This window comes from Homo sapiens, chromosome 15 (genome assembly GCF_000001405.40).
Source record: "Homo sapiens chromosome 15, GRCh38.p14 Primary Assembly".
NCBI classification, from domain to species: Eukaryota; Metazoa; Chordata; class Mammalia; order Primates; family Hominidae; genus Homo; species Homo sapiens.
In genome coordinates, this window is record NC_000015.10 from 51,840,640 (window position 1) to 51,866,156 (window position 25,517).

Sequence of the window (25,517 nt, forward strand, 5' to 3'; positions counted from 1 at the left end):
GTATTATAATAATTTCTCCTGCCCTTCTTAAATGGAGTCCCTGATGCTTAATTTAGCCAAAATGATGTGGGAAATATCGACTTTAGAATTCATTTTTTTGCATCATTTATTGTACCGTGCTATTGAATTGCCTTCTGAGATTGTTGACGTTTATAGGCTCTTAGAAACTGCATTAAATTGTCCCACACTTTTGTGTTTTGGTTACTTGGTAGCTTTTCCTTTTCTTTTATCTCCAGCTGTGGCTTCTTGCTATCACCTAATATCACTTAATTTACTTCTGTTAATGTGTAGTGTCTAGTATCATAAAACTAAAAACATGGCAAAAATTGAGTATTTTTTAGAGGAAGTGTGATATTGTGTAAAACGTATGGCTTTTAGGGTCAGGTTCAAATCTCACATCCACTACTGAAAAGTACATATCCTTGAGCAGGCTCTTAGCCTTTCTGAGCTTCAGTTTCTTCATCTGTAAATTGGAGATAGAACTATTTTGCAAGGTTATTATGAGGAGATGTGTATGATAAAGTGCCTGGCATATAACAGGTATACAAACAAAAATTGATTCCTTTCTTTTTCACTTCATTATAATATGATATGGGACATGATCCCTTTATTCTGAGAGACTAAAGTAAAAAATGAAAGAAATGTTTTCCTATGATGTAATTAAGATATAACCAGTTTTATTCTATCACTAAAGGTAATAATTGATAGTTGTTGTCATAAGTGTTAATTTCAGATATATTATCCTGAACTCCTGTTTTGGGTCCTTCTAAGCTCTCAGCAACCTCCTCTCTTTTCCTGCATTATTTTCTTTTACTTGTATGTGGCTCCCTTGATTTCCCTCATTTGATATTAAAGGAAAAATGTCCTTTAGCCCCCTTCTAAAGAACCTATCCCAAAGCAGACCTTATGTCCTGGAGACTGTGAACCAAGCTTCTTGGCCAATAGCAATGATTTCTAAGACTTCCCTTCTTTCATCAGTTCTGCTTTCTTCAGTTATCACCAGTCTTAAGTATTAATTTGTTTTTCTTTCTGCCTCCACCCACTCCCATTTCTTCTTTCTCTGAAACTATCCCCAATTGCCACTAGCTGTATGGTTCTCATTATTTCAGTAGTTTTTTATGGTTTGGAGTTTTTTTAATTATTATTTTGAGATGGAGTCTCATTCTGTCACACAGGCTGGAGTGCGGTGGCACGATCTTGGCTCACTGCAACCTCCGCTTCCTGTGTTCAAGCGATTCTCCTACCCCAGCTTCCTGAGTTGCTGGGATTACAGGCATGGGCCACCACGCCTGGCTAATTTTTTTTTATGTACTTGTAGTAGAGATGGGGTTTCACCATGTTGGCCAGGCTGGTCTCAAACTCCTGACCTCAAGTGATCCACCCACCTTGGCCTCCCAAAGTGCTGGGATTACAGGCGTGAGCCACTGTGCCTGGCCTGGTTTGACTTTTTATTATATGTTTGTGTGTATTTTTCAAAGGCTATATTGTGGTAGTTCTTATCATTTATAGTGAACTCTCCTGTCTTAACATCATGAGGCATTTCTGCTTCTGTGCCAGAGGTTTTGTGCCTGCTATCTTGAAACTGCCAATTAAAACCTAGTGAATACCCCTCTCCCCTTACTTTACTGGACTGCATGCTGCTTCTCCATAGGCGAATACCCTAGCTCATGTCACCAGATTACTTTTTTAAAAAACAATTTTATCAAGGCATAATTTATATACCGTCAACTTTACGTATACAGCTTGATGATACCAAATTACTTTTCCTAGCAAGCCCTCTTCAGTGCTGTCTGTGGTGTGTAAGTCATCTTGCCCTTTCTCTTTGTGTTCCAAAAATTGCTTATGGTGGGTTGTGTGGATGTTGATTGTGGCTGCTGTGTGGTTACTTACAAGTGCCCTGTCTGTTGGTTATTTTTCAGCTATTCATTCTGAATATCATAGTACTTCATTAGGCATGAGGTTTTCTACATTTAGGGCCTAAGGTCAAGGTAGTGGGGCAGTGTCATTTTCTTGAAGAATTGACTCTCTTTTGCCCTACTATTGACTGAGTTCGTGCTTTTATCCCACCTCATGAGAATTATACCCTAACTCCAGGAGTTACCAAATCTCTTTTTGAGTGGTATTACATTCCCCACCTCCCTCATGAAGTACAAAATACATTATGCAAATTTTAGGCCTTGTGCCTCTTGAAAAACCTATTGTAACTACTACTCCCTTTCAATCTGAAAATTAATCATGATAATAAAGCTTGATGTATCTCCAGGCCCCTGACGTTGATTAGAGTAATACCAGTGGTATCTCTAAGTCAGAAGTGTGCTGTGTCTCTGAAGGTGCATATAAATGCCTTCACCATGTAAGAGTGAGGCATGGTCCATTGAGGAGCATTCATTCTTACCAGCTGGGGCACCGTACTCATGACTCAGTGGTGAGCAATGGGGCTAGATGGTATGCCATACCTGGAGCACTGCTGATCTTGAGAGGAGGAAAAAGAGTAGTCAGAGTTGGAAGAGCTAGAAAGGCTTTGGAGAGGACAGACTTCAGCTAGTCTTTGAATTGTGCAGCGTGTGGATAAGATAGAGAGGTGAAATTCGGGCCTGGGGTAAAAAGGATTGTTTAAGAAGAGTGACATCATTGTGGGAAACAAATGAGGCGGCCAGCTGAAGATGAACTTTGGATATCTGTGAGGCCCTGAGGAATCTAGCCTGATTAAAGCAGAGGATTCCTAGTGATTCTTAGAGCAAGTAGGAAGGGGAGTTTTATCAAAATCACCCGAGAAACTGTCAAACTACAAACACCTAACAAGAAACATTTCTAAGTAAAGGAGTAAAATGTTAAAAGCAGTGTTTTAGGTGACTGTAGGCAAGATACAGATGTTAGAGCAGGAAAACAGGAGCTTAGAGTCAGTTTGCTTGTCTAGAGCCTGGTCTGACAGAGGGCTTAGTAAAGCAGTATTTTTTACTTCCTCTTTTTATGAGGTTCCAGAAGTTTCTCTAGGTCTTAGAACCTTTCCTGGGAAGGGGCAGGGCTCAGAGACATAGGGCTTTGAAGAGCCTGCATAGGACTTTAGAAAGTTGTTTCTCTTGATGTTTCCTTAGGGAAAAGGTTTTGAGAAAACATACCCCAAAACTGCCCTCAATCCCAGTTTCAGGATTTCAATTAAATAGGGCCTTTGGTCCAAAGCTGTGGAACTTGGGAGAATATATAATTACATATTTCTTAAAATGAGCTTTGCTATTGGTTTCGCAGATTGCTAGTTTTTTTTTTTTAATAGCATTCTGAAATTCTAATATGACTGTATGATGGCCGATGGTTCTTATTTTGTTTTTTCTACCAAAGCACTTCTTGCTGTTACCTGAGTGTGGCATGCATAATTCTAAAGTCAGGGATAATATTTGTTATTTTTTCATATGCAGCATCAAACTGCAACAAATGATTGAATTGTCCTTTAAATTAAAAAAAATCAATAAATGCACATGGTACAAAACTCCTGGGGTCCTCCTGGATATATAGCAAACACTGAGTGAACCCTCTCCCTTGTATTCTCAGCTAACTAGTTTATCTCTGGTTCTTGTGGATCCTTCCAGAGTTATTCTCAAGCACTTATTTTTAAAAGTTGATTGTTTAGATTTGGAAGGACCTTGGAGGTCTTTTGTTAACCAGTAGACTTTCTTGAGGTACTAGAAAAAAGTGGGTCACAGTTGAGGAATAGATGTAAATGAATGATGGGGGGAGGAAAACCCTCCGAAACTCCTTAAAATATCACCTTCTGCGGTTAAAGCCTTTATGAAACCTGTTTCCCAAAGGCCTCTTTCCTAAATTCCAAGTCAATTTTTCTAACCTATTTTTTCTTATTCTGAAGTCTTTTTTCTAATATCTTTCAGTACTGTTCTCCTCTTGAGAGTCTTGGTTATAAAATTTAATTAAAGAGAGGCAGTAGTTAAATACTGTTAAATTTATTTTAATAAGAGGAAAGGAAATAAAGACCAAGGCAGAAATGAATGTGCTACTTTAGTATTCTTACTACATTGACAGAATTTATATTTAATTTTGTGATTGAATCTTTTTTGCATTAATTCCTATGATTTATGATTTGTAGGGAATTCATGTTTTCATGGAAACATGTCTAACTTTATTATGGAAATCAATGTGAAAATAGAAAATTAGCTGTATAAGTTTGCTTTATTTGGTGAGTTTTCAGGAAAGCATTTATTAATACGGTCATACTACTGTTAACTTTTTTTTCCCCTCTACTACTTAACAACATTGGCTCATGCTTGACTTCATTATTTACTTTGTTCATTTTTTAAGTCTATCTGGTTCTTGTTTTTCAAGTCACTTTCCTGCAGTATTTCAGCTTTTGTATGTACATATCTAGCATGATTCAGCTTTCATATTTTTCCTTTTTACTTATACATTGTTCACCTTGGCAGTGATGAGGGCAAGTCAGTATTTTTTTCCCCCAAGATTGGGTTAAATGGTGTTTCCTTAAAATCATAGACAATTAGAATTAGAAGAGACCTGAGTCCATCAGGCTCAGGGATGAAATGACTAGGTTTCAACCTTTGCCAAGTCTCATCTACTGGTAGTAGCTGCCTAAGGACTGAGGGAGGATCTGTGCTCAGTGAAAAAAAGGCTGTTTGATTTGCCGTGTTTGTCATGGACGTGGAAGAGCCACCTGTCAGAACCAGGACTATATTTTAGCTATTCTTCATCTAGCCCAGGAAACTAAGAAGAGATTAAAGTCAGAACCCCTAAGTCCATAGATCCGCTCACCCTCAGTCTGATGCTGGGAGCTAACTAAGTGCTAGACTTTTTCTCCTGAAGAATTTTGGTTCCAGCCAGGCACAGTGGCTCACATGTGTAATTCCGTACTTTGGGAGGCTGAGGTGGGAACATCGCTTGAGCTCAGGATTTTAGACCAGCCTGGGCAACATAGTGAGACCTCATCTCTACAAAAAATTTAAAAATTAGCTGGGCATGGTTGGCACACACTTGTTGTCCCAGCTACTCAGTAAGCTGAGGTGGGAGAATCGCTTGAGCCCAGAAGGTCGAGGCTGCAGTGAGCTGTCATCACTCCAGCCTGGGTGATAGTGGGAGACTCTGTCTCAAAAAATAAAACAAGGAAAGAATTTTGGTTTCCTCTGGGTTTTGTTTGTTTTTCCTCCTCTGGTGATAATTGAATCCTATTAATTACATAGGTTTGTCACAGTTTGTTATAGAGCTTGGAGAAGGACTTCGGAGTAATCAATCAAGGAGTCAGAAGGTACAGAAAATTCTCCTTATTCTAGCAAAGAAAGGGAGCTTCAGTTATATAATCTAGCTAAAATTAAAAACTTTTAAAAATCTATTTTTAAGACTGAAGATTTTTCCATTAAAATTTAAAAGTACACTACTGACTGAGCGCAGTGGCTCACACCTGTTATCCCAGCACTTTGGGAGGCAGAGGCAGATGGATTACTTGAGCCCAGGAGTTTGAGACCAGCCTGGGCAACATGGTAAAACCCCATTTCTACCAAAAAAAAAAAAAATACAAAAATAAAAATTAGCCAGACATAGTGGCACGCACCTATTGTCCCAGCTACTTGAGAGGCTGAAGTGGGAGGATTGCTTGAGCCCGGGAGTTTGAGGCTGCCATGAGCCATGTTCATGCCACTACACTTTAGCCTGGGTAACAGGCTCAAAACAAAACAAAACAAAACAAAACAAAAAACAAATCTAGTTTGAAGCCCAGGAAATTTGGAAGGATTGAAACTGAGGAAAAATAATACCTTTTGTTCACTGCGTAACATTCAACTTGCTCTCAGCATGATTTCTTTTAGACCTGGCCTAGTTTATTTTAGGTTTTATGTGTTCTTCAATGCTTACTAACTTGGTGGATTAAGAAAATTCTTGCAAGAGGAAAAATGAGTCATGGTGATACTTCCCTTTGGGGGAGAGAAAGAAAACTCTCAGATTAATCTCACCATTATGCACTTGGCATGGATTCAGCATTTTGATTGATGGCTGAGCATTGATAAATCTTTCCCTGTAAGCCACTTCATATCATATTTGGTTTTGTTCACAGTAGGACTGGTAGAAGTCTCTTTTTCAGTTAACCAGCAGAGATAAAGAACTCTGTAACCTTATTACCATCAGAGACTTGTTCGTATGATGTCATTTCTTTTTTTTAAAGATATTTTGAGTTTGCAACAACTGGGAAAAAACATTTCCCAGTCTACCCAGTCTATTAAACAAACAAACCAAAAAATTAAAAACTGAAAAACATTTGGTGCTGAGAAACTGGGTATGCTAAGGGTGTGGCTATTTTGGCATCCATCTTTGGTATGCACAGAGTGGGTTCCTCTTTGACCTTGCCCTGTGTCTCTGATGCTGCAGCTCCACTAAGAAGAAGAAAAAGGGGAGGTGGGACAGAACTGGGAGCTGGTTTGCTACTATTCGTCAGAAAAGGAAGTGGGGCACCTACAAGAGAGCCACGAAGTCTCTCAGCAGGGTCTTGTTGAAAGATTGTTTTTGAAGTGGTATGAATAACCTGTCAAGTATTTTCTTGTAATAATCACAGAACTAATCTGGCTACTTTCTACTTTAAGGTAGTCCTCCGTGATCTGCTTCTAATTACATCTCTTCTTTATTCTAGCCCTAACAAGTTTTTCTGCACTGCCTTCAGATTTCAAACTATTTTCTCTGCAATCTATAAATTTCATTTTTTAAAATGCAAGATGGCATTGGTAGCAATGGCAGGAAAGACAGGGCTACTTAGGTTGATTAGTTTCCATGGGACTTTTACACAGAATAATCAACCACTATTTTTTCAACTACTGTGTGCAAAGCAGCTATCTCACTGAGCTGTGCTAATATCTGAGTCAACAAACCGTAGCATCCCCAAAACGCCACAAAAATTATTAAAATACTGTCTTTTAAGCTTCATTATATAGAAGAATCAGTGAACCAAACAAAAGGATAAATTTAGCATCCAGTATATTTCCTTTAAAAAAGTCTTAGACAGGCATGGTGGCTCACGTTTATAATTCCAGCACTTTGAGGGTCTGAAGCAGGAGGATCACTTGAAGCCAAGAGACCAGTCTGGGCAAAGCAAGACCCCATCTCTATCCTCCTCCATTTGCTATCAAAGTAATATACGTTATATACAACTAAAATAAAATGGGCATTTTTTAGAAGGTAAATATGTGTGCCAATACAGTGCTTTGAGCGTGGTGGGTATTGCTACGGTTTGAATGTCTGTACCTTCCTAAAATTCATATGCTGAAACCTAATCACCAATATGATGGTATTAGGAGGTGGGGCCTTTGAGAGGTGAGTAGGTCGTGAGGATAGAGCCTTCATGAGTAGGATTCATGCCATTATAAAAGAGGCCCTAGAGAGCTGCCTTGCATTTCTATCATTTCAGGACACAGCTCCATCTGTGAATCAGAAAGTGGGCTCGCACCTGACTCTGAATCTGCTGGTGTCTTATTGGACTTCTCAGCCTCTGGAAATTGTGAGAAATAAATTGCTGTGGTTTACAAGCTACCTAGTTTATGGTATTTTGTTATAGCAGCCTAAATGGGCTAAGACAGACACTGAATATATTCTTTGTTTATAATTAGTGTTATTTAGAATTATAAGCTTATAAAAAGGAAATGACCTTATGAGAGTCTTGAAACTCCCTTGCCTTTGAGGAATCTGCCACATTGTCCCTGACAGATATTCATACTCAGCCTCAACAATCCCAAGAATACATAGATGACTGTCTTTACCTTAGCCTTCTCCATCAAAGAGAATGTTCTTCAAACCAGCAGAGATGAAACTCAACCTTAACATTAAATAGAAGAGTATTTTGATGTTTTGAATGTTAAAATCTCCAGCCGGAGATAACTTATTGTTACATTATTTCCAGATTAATTTTGAACCATGCCAAACAGAAAAGGGAATGTCAATTTGAATTTTTTTAATTGAAGTAAATTGAAGCAGATACTTGGGAAATTGTTGGCTAGTGAACCGTATCTACTTCAAAAGTTTACATGGATATTCATCCAAAGGGAATATTTTGATCCTAACTACTATTAATATGTGTCAACACTGAAATAGTTTTATTTAAAAGTAAACATATATAATCACCAGAAGTTTTCTTCAGCATGAAAGGATATGACTGCCAGTCAATATCTGAAACAAAGGCAAAGCTGAATTTAATGCTTACTGTAATAAGGGAGAGCAATGCTGGCTAGACACAGTTTCTCTAAGAAGAGCAGGCCAATTTCTAATTTTGGGGAATTGTGGAATTCAGGGATTGGCAAACTTTCTGAGGCTGTAGTGGGTTAACATAATCTGTAGAAGTATGACTATGATTGGCTGGCACTCAGAGGAGTGTTTATTGGAGTATGTTCCCGATCAGCTTCTTTCGGAAGTTGGGAAGCTATTGCAATAGCCCAGATAAGAGGAGATAATGGCTTGGACCAGAGTGGAAGGAAGCAGTGGAGATGGTAAAGAGATGACTTTTAAAGGTAAAACCAGCAAGATTTGCTGGGTGGATCATGTGTGGAGTGCGAGAGAAATCAAAGTTGACTCCAAGATTTTTGGCCTGAGAGACTAAAGAATGGTGTTGCTGTTTATTACATGGGAAAAACATGGCAAGAGCAGGTATGGGGGAGAAAATTAGGAGTCTGTTTTGTATGTTTACATTTGAGAAACCTGTTAGCCATCCAAGTGGAGATTTTACATGGATAGTTATTTGCAAGTATGGAATTCAGGAGAGAGGTCCAGATTGGAGATATCAATTTAAAAGTTATCAGTGTATGAAATCACCAAGGCAGTGAGTATAGAAAGAGAAGCTGTCCAAGGAACTAAGTACTGGGGGCACTCCAACATTTGAAGATGAGGAAGATGAGGAGGAACCAGCAGAGGAGAATGAGATGGGGCAGTCAGGGAGGAAGGACCAAGAAAAAATGATGTCCCCAAAGCCAAGTGAGGAAAGTGTTTTATGGCCAGACACTGTGTCTAATAGGTCTCTTAAGATGTGGACTAAGGTGGCTCCTGCCTGTAATCCCAGCACTTTGGGAGGCCAAGGCAGGTGGATCACCTGAGGTCAGGAGTTCAAGGCCAGCCTGGCCAACATGGTGAAACCTCATCTCTTCCAAAAATACAAAAAAAATTAGCCAGGCATGGTGGCTCACACCTGTAATCCCAGCTACTCGGGAGGCTGAAGAAGGAAAATTGCTTGAACTCAGGAGGTGGAGGTTGCAGTCAGCCGAGATCACACCACTGCATGTCAGCCTGGGTGACAGAACGAGACTCTGTCTCAATAAAAAAAAAAAAAAAGATGAGGACTGAAAATTGACAGTTGGATTTAGCACTGTGCTGGCAAGATCAGTTTGGGTGGAGTGAGTGGTGGGGATGAAAGCCAGATGGGAGAATATTTGAGACAATAAGAGGGAGAGGACTCGGGTTACCAAATATAGACAATTCTTTTAAGTTTGGCTGTAAAGTGGAGCCAAGAAGTAGGGTAGTGTCTGGAGAGGGATGTGAAGTAGAAGGAGAGTTTATATGTTTTTTATTTGAGGTATGTATTACAGTCTGTGTGCTAATGGGCATGGTCCAGTAGAAAAAGAGCACAATTACTGGATAATTGTGCTCTTGTATAAATGTATACTGGAACCCTTGTATAAATGAGCAGGGATGGGATCTGGTTCCAAGAGGCAGGATTGGCCTTAGGTAAGAGACTGGACAGTTTATCCATAATAGCAAGAGGGAAGGTAGAGTGTATGGGTACAGGTGTGGCAGGTTTGTTGATATGATGGGAACTCAGATGTCATTTTATGATTGCTTCTATATTCTCAGTGAAATATTAAGGTAAGGTCATCAGAGAGTGAGGGGTAGGCAGTATTGAAGGTCTGAGAAAAAAGAAGTAGAAAAAAGTCATCTAAGAGAGTAGGAGAGTGACTGGACTAGGATTTGAAATACTAGAATATTAGAATTATTAGGCAGTACTCTTTGACATTAGTGGTGATACATTTTAAATGTAGCCAGTCAGTTCATGTATTTTTTCTCCAGCTTCATCTGCCACCCTGGTGCTGGTGAGGAGTAGGAAGAGTTAGGTTTTTTGTTTGTTTGTTTGTTTGTTTGAGACGGAGTATTGCTCTGTCACCCAGGCTGGAGTGCAGTGGCGCGATCTCGGCTCACTGTAACCTCTGCCTCCTGGGTTCAAGCGATTCTCCTGCCTCAGCCTCCTCAGCTGGGATTATAGGCACGCGCCACCACGCTCAGTTAATTTTTGTATTTTTAGGAGAGACAGGGGTTTCACCATGTTGGTGAAGCTGGTCTCAAACTCTTGACCTCGTAATTCGCCAACCTTGGCCTCCCAAAGTGTACAGGCATGAGCCACCGCACTCGGCCGGAAGAGTTAGTTTTAACCAGATGTGGGGTTTTGCCAGAGGAGTTCCAGAGAGACACAGTCAAAGATGTTGAGAGTTATGGAGGGGCACACTTATTGGTAAGGATAAGGACTGCTGGGGGGTGATAACCATGGGGATGTGGAGCTGAGGTAAGCTGAGGACTGGGCTGTGAGAAGAAAGAAGGTCAGGGAACTCAGAGTAAGGGGATCATCACTACGGTTCCTGGGTGCCAGATTCATGACTCTTCAGCAGTTTGACCAGTAAGCATTGAAAATCTTGTAAAGAAAATAAGAAACAGCAATTGTGTAAAAATTTTTTAAGGCGTGACAAGTTATTTGCTTGTTTCACTTTTTAGACTCAATCTTTTGCAAAAAATGATACCAGAAATGGCATTAACAAAAATACATGTTCTTTGGTTTAGACTGTGAATATGTTTAAGGACAGCCAGCAAATGTTTTATTTAGTAACTTTTGATTGGTTGATTTTGTTTAGTTAGTTGATTATCATTATTATGGGTTTGTTCATAAACTGTCATATTAGGACCATTCACAATGTGGATCTCAAAACAGATTACGATGAAAATATCAACCAAGAAACTCTTTTTAAAGCAGGCTGAGAAATACAGGTAGCATAGGGCAATGTTCAGCTCCTCAGGATAAAAATAGGTGTGGAATAAGAAATATTATTAAATACTAACTGAAATTGACTTAGAAGTCATCCTTCGTGCAGCTCGTGTTTTTATCCCCTACAGCCAACCGCTGTGTTTCCAAAACATATCACGTTTATCTACTTCTCTCCATCTCCACAGCCACAACTCTAGGCAAAGCTGCCATCATTTCTCACCTAGATTGCAGCTATTAGCGTAGTCCTAGGCTGAGAGAGCTGCTTGGAGACCTCAGGTCCTAGCTCAAAAGTCATCTTTCAGAACAGTCCTTCTGAACCATTTCAGTTAGCCTTCCTGATCCTCCCCACCTCCTTTGCTTTAAGTTTTCTTCCTTATAGTACTTATTGCTGTCTCGTATTACCTTCTTCCTTTATTAATTGGTTTTTGTCTGTATGCCACTTTTAAAATAGGGCAGGGAGCTTGTCTGTCTTGTATACTGCTTATGCCTGTTGTCTAGAACAAGTAATTCATGGCGTAGGAAATGTTCAAAAATATATGTCAAAAGAACAGTAAGTATATTGAAAAACAAATATTCATCTGGGAATCTTGAGATCAAAAAAATTCTCTGATCTGGTGGGTTGTGGAGATTGAGCACCCAGGGATCCTAGGAGAAGCCAGTGAGGAAAAGACAGCATAACAGTCTTAAGCCTAGCGCAACTGAAGAGAAGGCCTCCAGCACCTGAAGTGGAGTTAACCTGAGGCCTGGTGTCTCCTGAAGAGGAAACTCATTTGGTTACCTAAAAAAAAAAAAAATCAAATTTTCATTTAATTTCAGAGATGACTGATGAGCAGATTTTTTGTTTTGTTTTTAGCTGGGGGAGATTAGACAGCAGAGAACTCTGAATACTAAGCTCAAATGAGTTGATAGGGAAGAAAAGGTGAAGAAGGGGCTGCAAAGGATCAACGGAAGTATCAAAAATTCATTTTCAGCCCCCCCTTTAGTTGTGATAAGGGGATTAGAGTTTGGGAGCAAGAGGATACTAGGTAGCTGGAGGAGAAAGAGGGAACTACCAAAGAAGGGAAAGCAGAGATTGATGTGTGATCCAAGTATATCAAATTTGTGTTAGCTATGTACTGTACCTGGCAATGGCAGCCCAGTGGGGAATGAGATCTGGGAGAGATTCTCTGCTCTTCAAGAGCTTTACAGTGTCTAGTGAGAGAGACAGGTGAAAGACTAACTCCAATACAGCATAATTGTTGGTTTGAAGTAAGTTTGAGGGGTGTCTTTATGGAGTAGCTGGCCAGCCAGCTCTGGGATAGGATTTCAGGTGATGGCCCACAGCTTTATCTTTACAGAGACACAATTTCAATCAACTGGTAGGTGTCTAATCTCTTAAAAACTGGCATGTAGCAACCATACTCATAAAAAAGACTTATACGTAAGCCAAAATATCAATTTATTAATATCTAGTGAGGAAAGCTACATGAATAGCTGAATTTTAATTAGAAGATATCTTGGTGAACATTGAGAAGAATAAGAGGAAATAATTGGATGATGAAATATTGCCTTCTTTATTGTTTGTTTATTTTTAAGACAGAGTCTCACTCTGTCACCCAGGCTGGAGTGCAATGGTGCAATCATGGCTGACTGCAGCCTGGACCTCTTGGGTTCAAGTGATCCTCCCACCTCGGCCTCCTACTAGCTGGGCCTACAGACGTGGGCCATCATGCCTGGCTAGTTTTTTGTATTTTGTAGAGATGGGGGTCTCACTATGTTGCCCAGGCTCGTCTCAAACTCCTGGACTTAAGCGATCCTCCCTCCTTGGCTTCCCAAAGTGCTGGGATGACAGGCGTGAGCCACTGCACCTGGACTTTCTTTAGTTATGGTACTGTCATTTTATATATCTGATTTTCTAGGAAACACTCTTACCATTTTATGTCAGTATTTTCAGTTACACCCTTAAGTTTTGAAGTTACCGATGTACATACAACCTGTGGTTATAATGGATGTATATATAAAGATAATAACAACAGTTTGGGCATGATGTCTTATGCTGGTAGTCCTACCTACTCAGGAGGCTGAGGAGGAGGGATCACTTGAACCTAAGAGTTTGAGGCTGCGCCACTGCACTCTGGCCTGACAGAGCGAGTCACTGTCTCTTAAAAAAAAAAAAAAAAAAAAGATAATGGCAACATCATTAAGGAAATCATTAATTTTGCCTGGGTGTGAGAATGGAGACCAGGGAAATTTTCAGGGAAGATAGGACATTTTCAGCTAGGTCTTGAAGAATATGTGAGGTTCAGTTGAGGATAGAGGTAGATGGGAATGAATGCATTTTTTCTAGAGAGAGGGAACATAATAAGCAAAGGAATAGAGAGGCCTAAAGTTTGTGGCCTGTTTGGAGTATAGGCTATGTGATGGGGAGCAGTCCGAGATAATATAGGAAAACTAGCTAGTAAGGACCAGCTTCTCTGAACTGTGTATCTTATGCTGAGGAGATTGGACTTTCTCTTGTAGGTCAGGGATGGGCAAACTTTTTCTGTAAAGGGCCAAATAGTAAATATTTTAGCTTTGCAAGCCATCTGGTCTCTGTTGCAATCACTCAGCTCTGTCATTGTAGCACAAAAGCAGCCATAGGCAATACATAAATGAATGAATGTGAATGTGTTCAAATAAAACATTTACAAAGACAGGCAGCAGGCCGAATTTGGCCCCCTGTAGTTTGCCTAACCCTGTTGTGGGTAATATGAGTTATATAAGGCTTTTGGGCCAGAGAGCAATATGATCACATGTATGTATTAAAGAGAGAATGGATAAGAATCTGAAAACTCTGAGCCCACCCTATGGAAATGGTGGTGAAATGGAGGTTAACAACTCATAGACTATCTCTCTGAATCATATGATTCTACATTTTAACAAATATAGTCAGTGTCGATACCTTACTCCCTACACAAATATAAAGCTTGAAGAAAATAAGTGGAAATTGGTTGAACAGAGTAGAACATTGGCTTCTCAAACTTATATATAGATCCCTTTTAAAGGAAAAAAGCTGTCGGGCCTCCTAGTGTTAATTGACAATCAAAACAAAGCAGTTCTCCCAGGTGCTGGTGCAATGATAAATATAAATGTAAATATGGCAACTGAAATCCCACAGCATTGCTTCTTTTTAAGTGATCCAGAGGATCTAGAATATGGCTATTAATTTTTAGAAATTATTCTTATAGAAAGCTAAAATTTAAAACTCTTAGCAAAATGAGATTGCTGAGATTCCATTAAAAAATTAGCATGGTCCTGGAAGTCCAGTGTGAAAAATAAGGATTCTAGAAATAAGTGATAAATGAAAAGGAAGATGGTAAATGGAAGAAGACTTGGCCAAAAATATACCAGGAGTTTCTTGATGTCCTTAAGTATAGCCTCCACTAGCTGAAGTTCAGTGAAGCAGTGGGTGAGTGGAAAGAAGAAAAGCAACAGCACCCATAGACTTTGGGGAATATTTAAACAAATTTCTTCAGCCTTCGAAGACTTTTGAGTTAAACAGAATACACTCTGCCACACAGTATGAGATGTAGTTGTCAGAACTGATGAGGGGAGCACCTCTAGAGCAGTAGATCTCAAAGTATAGTTCCTGACCAGCAGCATCAGCACCACCTGGCAGCTTATTAGAAATGCAGATTATCTGCCCACCCCAGACCTACTCAATCAAGAAACACTGGGGGTGGGCCCAGGAATCTGTGTTTTAGCAAGCCCACCAGGAGATTATGATGCACTCAAAAGCAGGAGAAACACTGCTGTAAAAAGTGAGTTAAGAAGGAAAATAGTCTGAACATATCAGAATTCCAAATTAAAAATTCTTAAGCTTTGCCTAACTTACCTGGCAGAACTTGCTTATTTACAAAAAGTTGTGTTTTTCTTAAATGATCGTGAGAATGTTATGCTTTGAAAACCAATTCCCATATTCTTGTACAATGCAAATTGTTTTTTACTTTTATATGAAATACATTTTACATTAGCTTAGAGATTAAAAGTTTCTGTAGACAAAGTGTAGATTTAAAGTACTTTTCTAGCACACTGGTTTCACCTCTTCATCATTCAGAATTTGTTCCTCTTCTAGAAGGCAGATGTCAAAGGACAAGCAAGAGAGACATGTCATCCCAGAACAGAAAGAAAAGCAAAGCAAAGCACTCCTTCCAGAACTTCCCTTCCTAAGCAGTTTCTGAGCTCCTGCTGGCACTTGGAACATTGTCAGTATACAAATGTTCCTCAATAAAGGATGAGAGTTGAGAGGGAAGGTAAAATCAAGTTAGAGAATCTGATAATGGGAACATCTGAGGAAAGAATGCTAGTAGTGGCCAGGTGTGGTGGGTAGCTCACGCCTGTAATCCCAGCACTTTAGGAGGTCGAGGCAGACAGATCACTTGATTCTAGGAGTTTAAGACCAGCCTGGGCAACATGGTGAAACACTGTCTCTACAAAAAATACAAAAATTAGTTGGGTGTGGTGGCACATGCCTGCATTCCCAGCTACCTGGTAGGCTGAGGTGGGAGGATAGCTTGAGCCCAGGAAGCAGAGGCTGCAGTGAGCCGTCATTGCACCACTGTACTCCAGCCTGGGTAACAGAATGAGACCTTGTCTTAAAAAACAAAAACAAACAAACAAAAAGTGATAACTTTTGAGCATCATTAGATAGGATGAGCAACAGTTATTTGCTTTTTATTGAAGCAGAATTGAAACTTTGAACTTTGGTGTATTACCCAGAAGTTCTTGCCTCATGGCAAAATTCTATAATCTGAATCTGAAGGAAATTCATTTTTCATTGCTTTGGAAAGGAAAACCTAGCTAAAGAAGTAAACTTTTTTAAAAATGAAAAATACTTAGAAACGTTTTCCCCTAGGATATACCATGATAAACTTGATAAGACTTGAAAAAAAAATGGAAGAGATTTGTTACATATAACCAACAAAGAATATATTAAGGGCATTTTTTTTTTTTAACGGGCAAAAGATTCTTCACACAATAAGGAACACATTTGCCAATGAACATATGAAAAGATGCTCAAGCTCATCATAATTCAGCAAAATGCAAATTAAAACCACAGTGAAATACCACCAGAATGGCCAAAAATAAATACTCTGATAATACCAACAATGAGCAAGGATGAGGAGCAATGTGAATTGTCATGTGCCGAATCTGCTGGGAATGTTAATTCAAGCAATCACTTTGAAAATAGTTTGGGATTACCTAATCAAGTTCAGTATAAGCATACCCTTTTCCCAGCAATTCCATTCCTAGATTTGAAGGTCAGAGAAACTCTCTCACGCATGTGTACCAGGAAATAGGTAACAAGATTGTTTATAGCAGAGAAATAGAGGGGAGAGACTATAAGCAACTTAAATGTTCATTTATACGATAGAATAGTATATAGAAATGAAAAGAAAGTAGTATAGCTCTAAGCATCAACTCAAAACAATGAACAACATTAAATGAAAAAAGCAAGTCACAGAAGGGTGCATACTCTGCGAGTCTGTTTACGTAACATGCAAGAAAAGGGGCAGATCTAAAACTGTTGAGGGTATGTACAAATAAGGCAAAACTGAAGGAAAGCAAGAGAATGATTAATTCAAAATCTGGTAGAGTGGCTACTTTTGGAAGAGGAGATGCAACTAGAGAAGTGAATATGAGGGTATTAGTAATGTTTTCTCTTTTATGCTGGGCAGGGTGTTCATGGTTTTTCATTTTATTCTTTAAGCAATACTGTAAACAAGCTTTGTGTAGTAGATTTTACTTTGGGATTAGGAGAAGCAATGTATTGGAGTAAGCTATTTAGTCTCTCTGTGGAATGTAGAATGTCATGTTCCAACTTTACAGAACCTGGGTGGCATATAGCATTGCCTGCCTTTGCCCCTAATATCTCATTCCTATCGTATTGCCTATTAGAGTGCCCTGTTAGAATGATCATTGAATTTATGACCCATACTAGGACATTCTTGAAAGTAAAGTAAGGGATGCATAAAATAATTAAACTTATATCTATGTATATTTTAAAATATTCATTGAGAAAATTGGCTTATGTACTGAAAATTTCAAAAATGTATTAAAGCACATTAAAAACTTTTAAAACAGTAATTATCCAAACATTAAAAAAAAAGCATGAATTAAATTATTCTTGGTACATATTTATATACTTTTATCAGTTTCTTACCCTTATCTGTCTGAAATATCACATCATTGATATTTTTATAAAGGGAAAATTTTTTTAAGTGGTGTTATTTTTAATTTTTGTCCCTTAAATTTTTACCTTCTTCAGAATTACATTTTATGGCTAATATATTGGAAAGTGATGATATCTTCCATTGAATCTTATCTGAAGACTGTATTATTTTTAATGGAGAAAATATACTGTAAATATACTTGTAAGCTTGCTTATTTATTTATTTATTTTTAGAGACAGGATCTCACCTTGTTGCCCAGGCTGGAGTGCAGTGACACGACCGTAGCTCACTGCAGCCTCAAACTTCTGGGCTCAAGCGATCCTTCTACCTCACCCTCCCAAGTAGCTAGGACTACAGGTGTGTGCTGCCATGCCCAGCTATTTTTTTAAAGTTTGTATAGAGATGAGGTCTCACTGTGTTGCCCAGGCTAGTTTCAAACTCCTGGGCTCAAGTGATCCTCCTACCTCAGCCTCCCAAAGTGTTGGGATTACAGGCATGAGCCACTGTGCCTGGCCAAACTTGCTATCTTAAAGTTGGAGGTACAAAATGGACGCTTAACAAACAGTAATGACAATGATAATAATTTGCTAAAAAAAAAAAAAAAATTCAAGATAACCAGTAAACCAGAAGAGGTGCCAATAAAACAGGTATACACCAGACCTGTTTTGGGCAGTTACACAAGTTGCCTGCAATGTAGTATCTGCATAAGCAAATTCTGTTCATTTGCTTGTGTTTTTTTTCCCCTGTGATTACAGGATGTTTTTACTTTTTTCAACACACAATTCTATTTCCTCTATATTTTCCAGAACAAATGCATACCATGTATCTTTTACAATGAGAATAAACCAACAAAACTGTACTTTCTCCTTCATTTTAACTGGCTCCTAGCTAGATTAGAGATACTCATACTTGAACTGGGATAATAAGTAAAACCCAGTCGTATGCTTTCCATGTATTCTGGAAAACATTTAGGACTTATGGTAGGTCTGGCCTCAGCATCTCAACATTAAATCAGCAGTTCTCTTTCCTGGAATTAGAGATTCGTGCATCAAGCTGAGCATGGTGTCCTGCGCCTATAATCCCAGCTACTCGGGAGTCTGAGGCAGGAAGGTCACTTGAATCCAGGAGTTCAAGACCAGCCAGGACAAGACCCTGTCTCAATCATAAAATCTTTTTTTAAATTTTTTAAAAAATTAACAAGTTAATATAAAATTAAAGTGTGTCTTGAAATCAGACAGCCATCTTGTCTGCCATCGATGAACAAATTACAAAAATGGACTCATAATACATATTTGCCCACAGGGCTTGCAATACTGTTTCACAAAGATGGCTGTATTCTTCCTCTTCACAAACGGCCAGTCTGATACATAGCATGTTTAGCTACAGATGCCTCTGCTGACTCTCCCTGCAACATTTTCATTGCTCGCCAGTAGATCTGTCTGCAGTTTTCAGGTCTACCAAGGGGGTGGTTCAATGGTTCCTTGATACAATCCACCCAAAGATCAGAATCTACAGATCCAAACTCTCTCAAAGCCCTCTCATAATATTCTCTTAATGTTCACCATCTTGCAGGATTCTTGCTGTTTTCAAACTGAATCATTTTCCTGAAAAAGTCAACTGAAAATGGATGGCTGTTCTGTAAACTTTTATACACAGCTCTGGCTTTTTTGTAGCCACCATGTTGATAAGCCCAATCCAGGTACTTATCCTTCAGGGTTACTGAGTTGGCACCTGTGACAGCTAAGAGAGCTTTCTTAAAGATTGCCTCGGTGTCTTCTTGGCTTTTGGCACCTTCACTCCACTCTGCCAAGAAGTCCACAATGGTAGACAAACCTGGAGTTTCAGGTGCACAGAGTCTTCCTCAAAAAGCATGGCTATGTCAGGGCTCTTTGAGTCAATCAGCACATGCACCTTCATCTGCCACATTGTCCCAGAGTCTCTATAAACAGTTCAGTCCCAGCTACTGCCACCTCTAGAGCTTTCCTCAGGAAGTTATGGCACAGCAACAACTCAAGTCAACTGCTTGTATTGGAATTCTGGCAGAAGCTTGAGTTCATGTGCCCTTCTGAATGCAGTCATGGTTCTTTCCAACCTCTTCCCTCTGAGGAACCCACTATTTGTCTTCTTAGTAAATCTTTCCAAGCAAAAGGTGATATAACACTTCCACATGGCCTCCCTTGGCAGAGTCTTCACTGCCTCTTCATATACGGCACAGCATCTGTCCTCCTTCTGGCCCTCCTCTGCTTTGTCTTATTTCGTTGTAGGCTGTACGCTGCTCTTCTCCCGTTTGTGACTCGATCTCTAATTGTCACCTTGCCGCATAATCCCAAGTGAGAAGATCATCTGTGTGTAGAGCCTGAGGGTCATCATAAATTTCTATTTGTAGACCTTTGGCAAAGTCAAATCGCTGTGCAGTTGAAAGCAGTGACACATGAAATTCTGCACCTTAAATTATGCTTACAGAATTTTCATAGATGATCCGTGCCAATTTGCCCTTAAGGATTTCTTCAGAATAATCAGGATTCTCCACATCCATGTTGGCTTTTTGAAATTCTTGCTTTTCCTTCCTCAGTTTTTCAGCATGCATCAGCTCCATCCTAAAGTAGTCTTGATAAAGTTTTGGGCCCTCTGGATGAAAGTGCAGTGCCCAAAGAAATAGTTGCCTTGCACTTTCTGAAGACAAGCAGTCTTCCATTTCCCATTTGGCTGCCATAATCCACAAAGCTGGCTTGTTGGAATGAATGGCCAACATGGCAGAGAATACCTTGCTAAGTTGAGTTTTAGTAGCCCATTTCTTACAAAAAACTACATAGGAGGCCAGGCACGGTGGCTCATGCCTGTAGTCCCAGCACTTTGGGAGGCCGAGGCGGGTGGATCACCTGAGGTCAGGAGTTGGAGACCAGCCTGACCAACAAGGTGAAACCCCGTCTCTACTAAAAATACAAAAATTAGCCGGGCCTGGTGGCAGGCGCCTGTGGTCCCAGCCACTCAGGAGGCTGAGACAGGAGAATTGCTTGAACCCAGGAGGCAGAGGTTGCAGTGAGCCGAGGTCATGCCACTGCACTCCAGCCTAGGCGACAGAGCAAGACTCCATCTCAAAAAACAAACAAAAACCTACATAGGAGAGCCAAAGTTGAACATCGTCTTTCCTCTTTGCTGAGGCACTTCGGAAAACACCTTGTACCTGGTGTACAATAGAATTCTCAATCTCATCCTTCTTAAATGAATATCCAATGCGTGTTCTTCTCTGGATCTGTTCGAAAAGATTAATTTCATGTTGAACATAATTGATAAAGTCGTCCTTGAAAAGGGCTCTTTCCTGGATTCTGTACTGTAGATCAGAAGCCTTCTTAATGATAGCGTTAATCTCTGCATGACTGAACAGTCCAATGTGCTCTAGCTGTTCCAATTCAGGGAGCTGATCTTCTTTGTGTTCCTGAATTATCTCTGCCATGAGGTCCGAACTCTACAACCCCATGGGAGCTTCTCAACCGCGAACACGTGCAGGAAGCTCCCCCATTTGCTTGTTGTTGGACCCAAGGTGGTTGCTAGTCAAATTGCTGTCAGACTCCAGTGGTGAGCCTGCCTTTCTAAACAGTTTGAACATTTCCATTCATGGGAGATGGAAACACATCAAAGGAGCCTTAAAATGTTACTGGTTTGCAGAAAAAACATACTAAAATATTAAGCTGAGAAAACTTGAGGGAAGGGGTAGTAAAGGAAATGTATCAAACTGAAGTACTGAGCATTTTGCAGTCAAGAAAAACGTAACCAAATCACTAAGTCTAAAGTGTATTTATTTCCATAGGTACTAGGTACTTTTTTTTTTTTTTTTTTGAGACAAGGTCTTGCTATGTCACCCAGGCTAGAGTGTAAAGGCACGATCTTGGCTCACTGCAACCTCTGCCTCCTGGGCTGAAGCCATCCTCCCATCTCAGCCTCCTGAGTAGCTGGGACCGCAGGTGTATACCACCACACCTGGCTGATGTTTTGTATTTTTCACCATGTTGCCCAGGCTGCTCTTAAACTCCTGAGCTCAAGCGATTCACCTGCCTCGGACTCCCAACGTTCTGGGATTACAGATGTGAGTCACTGCGTCTGGCCCAGTACTAGGTATATTTTATGAGACAGACAGTTCATACATATGGCTGGAATATGCAGAAATCCTTGGTTTCGCCTTTCCTATAGAACAGTCCTGCCGAATCAGCAGATGATTAGCTCTTTGATATATGCCAACTTCTGTGTCTCTAGAGCTACTATTAACCTGCTTGTTGATTAACCTCATGGCTGCCTGGGAGAGACCGCACAGGAAGGAAATGATGATGGTCCCTTCCCACAGTCAGACCCTCCCACCAACCTTGTCAGTCAGTGGATGACATATCCCAGCATGATTTTGAGTATTTTACTCAATCATCTTCAGAATGCTGTATTTTTTTCCTTTAAAAACACCTCAGAAAAATATTTTCAAATGCATCTTTTCAAAAGAATATTTTTCCTAGTGGCAAGAGACCACTCCTGTCATGTGGAATGTATTGCTATCCCCCCATATTAATACTGAGTCATATTGTTCTCCTAAACAATATATAGTAAAACAAATGTGCCTTAAACATATTGTGCTGAAGCAAAGTACTCTGGTAAAATAATTTGAAAGCTATTGATGGAAAATCTTTTATTTTGACACATAATTTCTTTCCCCCTAAAATTTAATTATTAGAAATTCTAAATTCTATCAAGTGGCTGCCTTAATGGATTTGAATTTTGTTTTATCTTTTCCCTCTTTTTTCCTGGTTGATTTTTTTTTTCTCAACACAAGGCAAAAGGCATTGAATGATTCATAAACAAGAATAGTATGTGATATGTGATCAAAGAATATATGACACATGGAAATTACATTTCACTTAACCTGAGAATTAGATCTAAGTAGGTGGAGATGACTTACTATTTAAAATGTATTTGTTTCTTCTCTCCATAGCTTTAAGAAAAAGTAGAGATCACTTCTGACTGTACTGAACAGCAAAAATTAAGTGACTTGCTGCCCTGCACATCATGGCACTGCCATTCCGTAAGGACTTAGAAAAGTACAAAGACCTTGATGAAGATGAGCTCCTTGGGAATCTGTCAGAAACAGAACTGAAACAACTGGAAACTGTTTTGGATGATCTTGACCCCGAGGTAGGTGCTAGGTGATGAAGAGAAATGAAATAACTTTTCGAATTCTTTGAAACTCAGTAGCTGCCTTTGAGCTTTTCCATGACTTTTCTCTGGCACCTTCCACCCTTTCCTCCACTTTATCCAAATCAAGTTGCTTTTGGCTCTCTCTCCAGTTCCCCACTTCTGCCTCCATATGTTTAATGACATGACTGTCCTAAACTACTTCAGTATCCTTGTTTTCAAACATCTCCTGAAATTTTTTCCTCCTCTAAGAAATTTTTCTCCTCTGTGCAGGAAGGGATATTTTTAGTACAATGCAGCAGATGGTTACCTTTTTGATACACGCCAACCTCTGTCTCTTCAGAGCTTCTATGCCAGGTGGCTCCAGTGTAGAATGCCTCTAAAAGATTCTTCATGACCCTAAATCTAATTGTTCCCTTTCTGAAAGAGGCTGACCGAATTGATTACATTTCCAGACATTGGTAGAATAGATCTAAGTAACTTCTTGGCAATACAGCAGTCCACTGTGGAGCAGACATGAATATATGTATGTAAGCTTTAACTTGCAAGGTGGATGTTGTTTGTCTTATAAATTACACAAGGCTAAGATAGACACCCATGACCCTTGAATTGTTATTCCCTGATATGTTGGAGGACGGGCAGTGAAGGAAGAGCCTGAAGGTCGTGAAGGTAATGGTTGTTTGCTAGGCTTCTTTTCTTTACCACATTTCTTTATGCCAAGACGTTGATTTTAAGTATCCTCTAAGGACTGAGATGGAGTTCATTTTATAACGTTGTTGTTACTGGATGATGTATCTATACCATAGATCAAATCCCTTAACCATAATTACTATTATAAGGAAAAGTTCCCAGTACATCTGATTGGAGGGGGATTACTCAGGATAATGATGCTGTTTTTATCACATCACAACAGTATCTTCTGTAGGCAGTTCAATCTATTAGACCTATTTGAATCAAATGTTTTAGAACTGGAAAAAGTGGCTGGGTGCTCACGCCTATAATCGCAGCACTTTGGGAGGCCGAGGCGGGTGGATCACTTGAGGCCAGGAGTTCGAGACCAGCCTGGCCAACATAGTGAACCCCGTCTCTACTAAATATACAAAAATTAGCTGGGCATGGTGGTGCACGCATGTAGCCCCAGGCTACTTGGGAAGTGGAGGTATGAGAATTGCTTGAGCCAGAGAGGTGGAAGTTGCAGTGAGCCGAAATTGCACCACTGTACTCCAGCTTGGGTGACAGAGCAAGACTTATCTCAAAAAAAAAAAAAAAAAAACTGGAAAAAGCATAAGACTTTATCTAGTCCCTAGGCCAGGTTCCTCAATCTTGACAGTATTTACTTTTGAGGTTGGATAATTTGTTGTAGGGGGGCCGTTCTGTGCCTTGGAGGGATGTTTAACAACATCCCTGACCAGTAGCACACTCCTCCTGTTTTAAAATGTTCCTAGGATGTTGTTTTAATCAGGTTTGGTAATGGATGACACACACTGAAACTACTGCCTTGAAAGAAGAGTTTATTACTTACAGTTCCAAGAGTAGGAGGCACAGCATGCCACACAGAGGCACAGGGGGAAGCACCTAGATTGGTCAGGAGGCAAAAGGATCAAGGAACAAGCATGGTCCAGAGCCTTTATTGTGGTTCAATGGGAATGAATGGGTGAGTCAGGATAGGCAAGTTTGAACAAGTTTAGGACTAGATGGTTTGAATAATTTGAACAGGCTCAGGGCTATGTAACTAGTCTCTAGTTGTCCAGTATCTGGTTCTGGGTGATTTAGGGGGAGGGGAAATACTGGCTTGGTAAGTGAGCGTTAGATAAAAAAGAGGTGGTTAGGAGAATTGGTTGGTTTGCGTATGAAAGGTGTGCTCCGGGGGAGGTTGGTGGGGATAGTGCGCTCTCTAGCCAGCCCTGGAAGGAGTGGTCTCTCCAGGATTAGCAAGGCCCCAAGATGTCAAAGCATCATAAAACTCAGAAAATAAAAAACATGACTTTTTTTTAGAGCCCAATTCTCACTCTGTTCCTCAGGCAAGAGTGAAGTGGTGCAGTGATAGCTCACTGCAGCCTCGAACTTCTGGGCTCAAGCGATCCTCCCACCTCAGCCTCCTATGTAGCTAGGACTACAGGCAAGCACCACTATACCCAGCTAATTACTTTTTAAAATTTTTTGTAGAGACAGGGTCTCGTTATGTTACCCAGACTGAAAAACATAATACCCTCCCCCTGAGTTGACAACCAAAAATGTCTCCAGGCATTGTCAAATGTCCTCTAGGGGACAAAAACACTACTGGTTCAGAAACATTGATCTAGTTCATGCCCTCTGTTTTACAGATGGAAAACAGAAATTAGGTAACTTGCCTCAGTTATTACAATTAGGGAAAGAGCTGGGACTAGATCCCTCACTGCCTGATTGATACCTGGCAGTCTAGCAGTCTTTTTCTGTTAAACCACATTGAGTCTCCTCCCAACTCATGCACTATGGTATCAGTCTGAAATCTGTTGGCTAATTTTTTATTTGTAAATCCATGGCCTGCTTCTTGTGTGGGGAGGCTTGAGTAACCTCTGAATGTATTTTGCAAACTCCCCAACCCCAGTCATAATTCCTCTAACCTCAATACTGTTAGTTGAGGCTAGGAGAACAGTGATGTTTATTGACAGCATCTGTTTGTTGGGTGACATGTTTTTGGAAAGCGTTCTGGTAAAGAACCAGGTAAGAAAAGAGGTCAAGGGTAGTAGCAGCTACTTCAGCCAAAGAAACACCACTGTAACTTACAAAGTCTCAGGAAGTAGGTCGAAGGTGTGTGTGGTACCTTATTATATTTTGGAGGACTGTTTTACTGTCCTTCTGCTGTATTCAGTGTACGTGTTTGCTAACTCACTGAGTTTTTGCCAAAAAAAAAATATATATATATGTCTCCAGAAGACAGCCAGCCTAGGAAGAGCTTTTTTTCCCCCCCAAGGCTAGGAATATATTTTACAGCAAAATTGCACTGCAAGAGAGAAACGTGTCATTTTTAGTGACAATCATATTAAAGAAAATTTTTATATGAAAAGTAATTATGATCTATTAGCTTACTTGATTAGAACATATTTCTAATGAAGCTTGGTTCATGGGTTTATAGTCTCTAAAACCAGCTAGCTTCATTTAGATTG

General features: G+C 39.9%; 1 protein-coding gene and 1 pseudogene across 1 annotated transcript in view; one reads left to right on the forward strand and one right to left on the reverse strand.

Moving 5' to 3' along the window:
• The window catches only part of TMOD3 (tropomodulin 3), an 86,073-nt gene that overhangs the window by 10,987 nt on the left and 49,569 nt on the right, over positions 1 to 25,517 (forward strand). The window contains exon 2 of the mRNA NM_014547.5: positions 22,172 to 22,371. Within this exon, the coding sequence (NP_055362.1) occupies positions 22,246 to 22,371 (126 nt within the window). The 5' untranslated portion in view covers positions 22,172 to 22,245. The remainder of the gene's footprint in view (positions 1 to 22,171; positions 22,372 to 25,517) is intronic.
• LOC100422490 (UTP6, small subunit (SSU) processome component, homolog (yeast) pseudogene) lies at positions 18,155 to 20,715 on the reverse strand (annotated as a pseudogene).